The sequence below is a fragment of the Homo sapiens genome, chromosome 8 (genome assembly GCF_000001405.40).
Source record: "Homo sapiens chromosome 8, GRCh38.p14 Primary Assembly".
NCBI lineage: Eukaryota > Metazoa > Chordata > Mammalia > Primates > Hominidae > Homo > Homo sapiens.
In genome coordinates, this window is record NC_000008.11 from 34,901,029 (window position 1) to 34,908,313 (window position 7,285).

The 7,285-nt window shown below is 38.8% G+C and overlaps 1 annotated feature.

Annotated features, from left to right (window-relative positions):
• Window positions 5,718-6,602: an enhancer, noted in NCBI's record as "OCT4-NANOG-H3K27ac-H3K4me1 hESC enhancer chr8:34764264-34765148 (GRCh37/hg19 assembly coordinates)". NCBI's record gives its function as "activates a minimal SCP1, AML or CMV promoter by ChIP-STARR-seq in naive and primed H9 embryonic stem cells {active_cell/tissue: H9 hESC(naive and primed)}" and the evidence as "EXISTENCE:reporter gene assay evidence [ECO:0000049][PMID:30033119]".

The following is a 7,285-nucleotide window of genomic DNA, read 5'->3' on the forward strand; positions in this document are numbered from 1 at the left end:
AAGTAATTAAATGAAAAAAATAAAAGTAGTCTTTCTTGTACCTCAAATGATGAAACAGATCATAGATCTTACATCAAGAAAAAAATTATGAGCTGGAGGGACTGAGTCTTTGAGAAACGTGTTTCTCAGTTAAAAGGTCCAGCTTCATCTTCCCTGCTCCTTTCCCACCTCAAATTTATATTAATATGACTAGAGAAATAATGCTGCACTGCTGAATATTTTACAGGCCTGGGGAAGATTAGTCATTACATGCTCCTGGATGGGCTTCATTCACACACATTCAAGCTAATTATAAAAGAGCTTTAAAGCTATGTATGGATGCTAGGAGGTGGAGAGATGAAGGGAGCCTCTATTGCAATATAAATAAAACCCTGTAAATATATATAAATATTGGAGAAGGCAGGGTTGGAAGAAAAATGACTATAGCTTAAATTCAATCTCACAGAATGTCTAGCATAATTGTTTGCATACAATAGGTGCTCAATGACCATTTGGTGAATTAAAACATAAAAGCAAGAATAAGCAATGAACAACATCGTGGGGTCCTCCACCGGGAATTATTAATATGTCTCCTGATTTTCTATTCACCAAGCATAGGTTCTCAACAGACTGTTTCCTGTTTCTTTCCTACCCTTTCCAGTTTGACATTTCATTGCTTGCTATGTAGTTTCTTCCTAGATGGAAAAAGCAAACTTGTGTATCTCTTTATTTCAGGAGTTGTTATGGTAGGTTTAAACATAAAAAAGGCTGATATAATAAGGTACAACGGGGATTTGATGATTTCACTGATCTTTATTTTTTCTAGCTGTCCTACTTTAGCAATATAATTTCAAGGTGGTCCAAGCAATATAATTCCAAGACAGTAAATTGCTTTAAATTATGCTATCTCTTTCAAGCTGAGTTAAATCTCATTCCATGGTTAGCTAGTTGCTATATGGAAGTAAATACTTTGTGCTTGCTTTAATCTTTTTGCCATGTCTTCATGCAATAGAAGAGGTAATTCATCAACCAATGGAATAATATCATTTAAAAAGATCTCGGAAAGTTTGATCTTATTTTTAGGAAAAGTTGTACTTCATGTTAGTGTTTCACAACTGCCCTTTGGCCATTCTTTCCTTGCCTGGGAAGCTGACCAGAGTGCTGAAGTCTTCTATCTGTGCCCTTTATCTTTAGCCTCAGGCAACTTTCTATTCAACTCGTTCTCTAGTCCCATGGCAATGTCCCCATTGAGAAAGAAAAAATAAAATACTGATTGAAGGAATCCCCCCTTGGCCAAGGGAACCCCAAAGAAACCCTAAAAATTGAGTTCCTGACCATGAAAGGACAGGAAGGAGACAAAAAAAAAAAAAAAAAAAGAGTTGTTTTCCTTGGTGAGTCAGCTTTAAGTGGATAAAATAACTTTAGAGAACAACTTTATCTTGTTCTTTGGGAGAGATAGTGGAAGGGAGGTCAAAGAGATCTTGAAGTTTCTTCTTCAGTTCAGCATATTAAAGAATCGTATTTTAAGCTATTGGTTTCCAAGCTCCAACACCTGCAATTTTTTATGGCAATCATAATGGTGGTGGAGCTGAGGACCATAAAGGAAGAACAATTGAGTAACAGCATGAAGCTGAAGTTGGTGGTAGCAATACTTTCTTATAAGTAGGATATATGTTGACATTTAAAGACACTATGTTATCTCACTTCTGCAAATGTTTAGTAAATAATTACCCCTAGAGCACTTAAGCAAGAAGAGTTTGTCTACAAGTTCCCCTAGGCAGCTTTCTTCTCATAACACCTAAATTGGCAAAGGGAAATATCTCTGCAAAGACTAGACTTATCTGTTCATATAGGATAGCCCTTATTTTAGTATTCTACTCAGAACCAGCTACATAGTTTGCAGGACATAGTGCAAAATGAAACGCTGGTTCCTTTGCCCAAAGAGTCTTGAACCAAACACGAGGTCCACCTACACATGGTGTCCTGTATGACTGCACAGGTTGCATGTCCATGAACCTGGCCCTGACTATGCTAGACTCTTTTCTGTTCTTTCCTCTGAAGAATAGCATTCTTAGTCAATTTAAATGAGCAACTTAGTGTCACAAAAGCAAGAAGGAATTTAAAAGACAGATTACATAGAATTAACATAATTTAAAAGTGCAGCTTTATGTTACTCTACTAACTCAGCATACGCTTAATTTATTAAAAGAGCCCTCTGTGCTTTCACTCCTCTATTAGCAGGTGCTTGCTATCTCTAAACATAAGTTTTAAAGCACTTGTCTATTTATGCTCCTAAGCTGAAAATGATTTGTGTATTTTCACTCCCTAGAAAAAAAACTGTATTTTCTTCTCTTTCACCAGGTTCCTGCTCTCTCAATTTTAATTCGCTTTTAAATAACAATTTTAAGCAGTCTTTATTTCTATTTTAGTTTTCTTTTATCTTTATTCTAAAGCTGTGTTTCTTAACTTTTATTTCAATTTTATTTTCCCCCATGGAAGATTTTTTAGACAATTTTTTTCTAATGGCATCTCCCATGAAATTTTAATACTATAGATATACTACTTATGAAATACACATAGAAATATATATATATAATATGTGTGTATGTATAACATATACACTTTTTCAACCCACAAAAATAAGAATCAATTCTATCCCTTTGGGAGTAATAGACTCTTTGAGAATGCATGATCTAAAGAAACATGTCTCAGAATCTATTTCAATTCCACCCTCACATTGTTTCTCTGTCAAAAAAACAACAAGATTTCCACAACACTAGCTTTCACAAGCCCAAACCAATTGACTAAGCTGAGTTCCACATCATCAACTGGGAAATTAGCCTACAAACATTTGTGTACTAGGACAGAGTATTCTGTGAATCTATCTGTATTTTAATTACAATTTCATTTTCTTTACTTCTGAGGTCAATTCAGTTCACAGCTACCATTTGAAGGGGATGCTTTTAGGGATAGATGTTAACAAGAATATAGCAAATTTTTGCCTGCAGCCACGAAAGGGCAATGATACATAAGCGCTAGAAAGGCAAGCTTCCTTCCAGCTTGTCAACTTCAAGATAAATACATAGATTGACATTTTCTGGACATATAGGTACATCTCATAAAGCCAACTTCAAAACAGAATTTGTTTTTCTCAATAAATATGGCAAAAAGTGCTGCTGAAGCAGCACATCCCTGGATTATGGTGCCAACTGTAGAATGATGAGGTTCATACATTTGGAAAAGAGAGTTTTATTTCTCATAAAGTGTTGCAGCCGGCAGGTGGCCATTTTGACTGACTGGGAAGGGCAGCGTCTGGCCAGAAATCCAAAAACAAGGACTTCAAGTGTCAGAAGAATAAGACAGGGATTTATGCTGAATGGAGTGGCCAAATATACTATTCAATAAGCCATAGGAAGAGTCATATATTTATGAAAGGAGGAACATGCTCATGCACAACTGAGCACCATGCCTCTTCATGGGTTCCATGTACAAAAAACAGGGCAAAAGCATGACTGCAGGGTGCAGCTATTGGCCCTCTGACATCAAATGTGGAAGCAGGGAATATGAAAACCCTCACTGCAAATCCTCCTAGACTGGCCAAAACCACTCTATGATCAGTGGTCTCTAATATTACTAGGAAGGATGTATTGTGAAACCAGGGAGCTATTACACTGGAACTGCAAAGAGGGTAGGGAAGTCAGTTGCGACCTTAGATGATGGGCTAAAGGTGATGAAAAAATGAGTTATCCATTTCTTCTTTTCTAGATCTGGTTTCTGCTGACTCCTTAGTAAAGAATTCTGCTTAAAAGTTGCTAAGGAAGGAACATACTGAGGTGACAAGAAACAAAACAAAAGAGTTGTTTTCCTTGGTGAATTGGCTTTAAGTGGAAGCTGTTTTATTTTCAGACCCCACCAGGAAACCTAAGAGGACTGAGGAACTGTTATCTCATTATCCATTGCAGAAAAGAAGACCAACTATGTAACTACACTTGAACAGACCCTTTCCCAAGGTGGTGTCTGTCTCTCAGTATCATTCAAATTCCAAAGAGAACTATTTACAAGTTCCCTGAACCATTCATTCTCTCTAGTAATCATTTATTGCCCCTCAACAGAACTCCTCTTCTGCTCCTCTTGTAACTTATTTTGCCAGGGTGATAGTTAAGCTTCTGAACTCCATTGGGAGGTGGGTAATCACTCTGTGATTTTCCCCTTGTACACGTTAATAAATTTGTGTGCCTTTTCTCCAATTGTAGTCGCCTAATGGGTTCTTCCTGCTCACTGCAGATGAAACTGCCATTGCAAAATTGTAACTGAAACAGTGAAAGAGATTTGACCTAACCAACTCCATCTTGCTTCTAACCTCCAAGCTGTCTTTGTTCATTCCTGGGCATAGGCTGAACTAACTTTGGGAGGAACTTAGTTTATAGTTTAAAACAAAGACGATAACAGCCCTTTCCCAAAACAAACCTCTTTCTTGCCCAGGAACTAGACTGCCTTTGTAGGGCTAACAAATTAGTCACAAGATTAGAAAATATGGTTTAGGAGTCATGCAGCTGGAAGCTACAAGATTCTGACCCTCCCTAAACTGCTCCTAAGATCAGTGCTTGAGATATTTTGCAGACCTTGCACTTCAAGGATTAGCTGGCACCACCCAGATTGATAAACTGGCTCATCTGATCTTGTGGCCCCCACCCAGGAACTGACTCAGTGCAAGAAGACAGCTTCAATTCCTTATGATTTCATCTCCTACCTAACCAATCAGCACTCCTGGCTCACTGGCTTCCCCTCACCGACCAAGTTGTCCTTAAAAACGCTGATCCCTGAATGCTCGGGTGACTGATTTGAGTAATGATAAAACTCCTGTCTCCCACACAGCTGGCTCTTCATGAATTACTCTTTGTCTATTGTAATTCCCCTGTGTAGGCAAGGTGAACCCATTGGGTGTTTACACAAAGACAAAACCAGTTCACTGAGATTATGGTATTGCAATAAAGACTTTAATTGACACAAGGTCGGTCACAACATGTGGGGGACAGTAATTACTCAAATCAATATCCCCAAAAATTTGGAGATTGGGTTCAAGGGTAGTTTGGTGGGCAGGGGTCTAGGGGAATGGGTGGTGCTGATTGGTTGGGAATGCAATCTTAAAAGTGTGGAAAATGGTCCTCATGCATTGAATCTCCCTCTGGGTGGGGGCCACAGGACAGGTTGAGGCAAGAGTCATCTGGATGGGGCCATTTATTCAGAAATGCAAAAGCCTGAAAAGACATCTGAAAAGGCCAATCTTAGTTTCACAACAATGAATTGGGGAAGTTGCAAATTTTATAACCTCCAGAATAACAGCTGGTAATTATTTAATTACACCTACATTTTAGCAGAATTCAGGCCCCTCATCCTCCCAAACTGGTGGCCTTTCATTAGTTTTATAAAGGTGGTTTAGAATTGGGGAAGGGCTTGGCTCAAGCCTGGGAATCACCTAGGGCAGTTTGGAGGTTAAAGGCAAGATGAGGGATGGTTAGATCAGATCTCTTTCACTGTCATTGTTTTCTCACTGTGATAATTTTTGCAAAGATGGTTTCAGAATTAACCTACCTTTGTAAGTTAACTTTTCAGTGAAACTTCAGAGGTTAAAGGGAAAGTTTATCCATTTTCTTCCTATGTGGGAGAGAGATGAAAAGAAGTAATGTACTAAGTCAAATACAGCATATGCATAATTGGCCTTATTTTTTGGCATCTTCGGTCATATAAGGTTACACTTTTATTATTACTACCATAAATAAATAAATTTCATGAAAATAAGGTTATCCCAAAAACTTTGCTTCTACCCACTTTAAAATTCTATCATGTTATGATATAAAGAGATTATGGATAATTATGAGAGATTTGCTTACTCAAATTAAGTGGGCTAAGAAGAAGTGAGTGGGCTAAGAAGTTTCTGCCTGCAGTGTTTAGAAAGCTATCAGCAAGATCAAGCTGGAGCAGCTGTTTGCATTGCAAGTTGACTGTTTTTCAAAAGCTGATGAACTTTAGTTAGTATAACTATGGCAATGGCAAAGACAAATGCTCACAGAAAATGTTCTCTTTCCTTCTATGTGAATGCTTCCTGTCCTAAGGCCTCTCGGGATTAGAAACTAGATCCCTTTTCATGGCATCAGCCCTATTCAAAGATGTCAGCAGGGAGCCAGGAAAGAGGCACTCTGCAAGTGGAGCTGCCTTTCTTCCCCAGGGAGTCTGCTGCTTTTTGCAGGTGATGAGGAGGAGGTGTAATTCTCACATTTAATGAAATCTCTGAAATTTGAAGCTTTCAGTTAACATCTGGTTGTGAAAGAGAAACACTTGGCTGGCTATTTTCAAGCTGCTGGCTAGCTGGCTGGGTTGAAGGGACTTCCTGTTCACCTCCTCGGTCAAGGTAGCATGAGTGAATGGTTCAGTTTCATTCACCCCAGCAGGGGGATAGCTGGCAGGAGGAACCCACTCAAAGTGCAGGACACTCATGACAGCTGGTTCCTGCCATTCTCAGCCTGTGCCCTCTAATCAGGTAGCTGTTCAATTATGCCCAATGAACCCTAGCTGAGCAATTAAAAAAGCAAACGCTTCCCCAGAATGGCATGGCTGCAAAAATTGATAAGTTCACCTTTGCTTGTGACTCAAGGCAGAGTGTAAGCTGTTTAAATGTTACCCTGGAGCCGCAGCTTAGGAGAGCTTTAAAGAGGGCTTAGCCTGCTCAAAGGGAAGAGGCTACAACTAACACACACAGGGCAATAGGAATTCTTGAACCATCATTACATCTTTTTCTCCTGATTTTCCCTTCTCAATGAAAATTATATCTTTCTGGCTGTAATAGAAAATATTGCAATTGCTTTGACTGGCCGGTATTCCAGTAAAATTTCATGCCCCACTGTATTTCTTTCTTTTGCTTTTAGACAATGGTGTTGTTTTGATTCCAGAACTGATAGAACAAAGGGTCATTTTCTTGGTCATTGGTTCCCTCTTATATTTTGCATTCTTTTCTTCTTCCTCTCTCCTGTCTGATCCCTAGCCACTTCAAATGATCCCCAGGCTTTCCAAAACAAGAAGCTTAAAAAGAAACCATGCAAATAGAACACAGTGGCACAAAACAGAGCCTTGAGCATGCCATCTTGTTAATGCATTGATGTAGTGATAGATCATTGAGGACAGCTTTTCCTGAGAACAGCTGGTAGTAGATATTTGTATTTTCAGAAAGAGATGCTATTATGTTGGTACTAGAAAAAGGTCCCGATCCAGATCTCAAGAGAAGGCTCTTAGGTCTTGTGCAAGAAAGAAT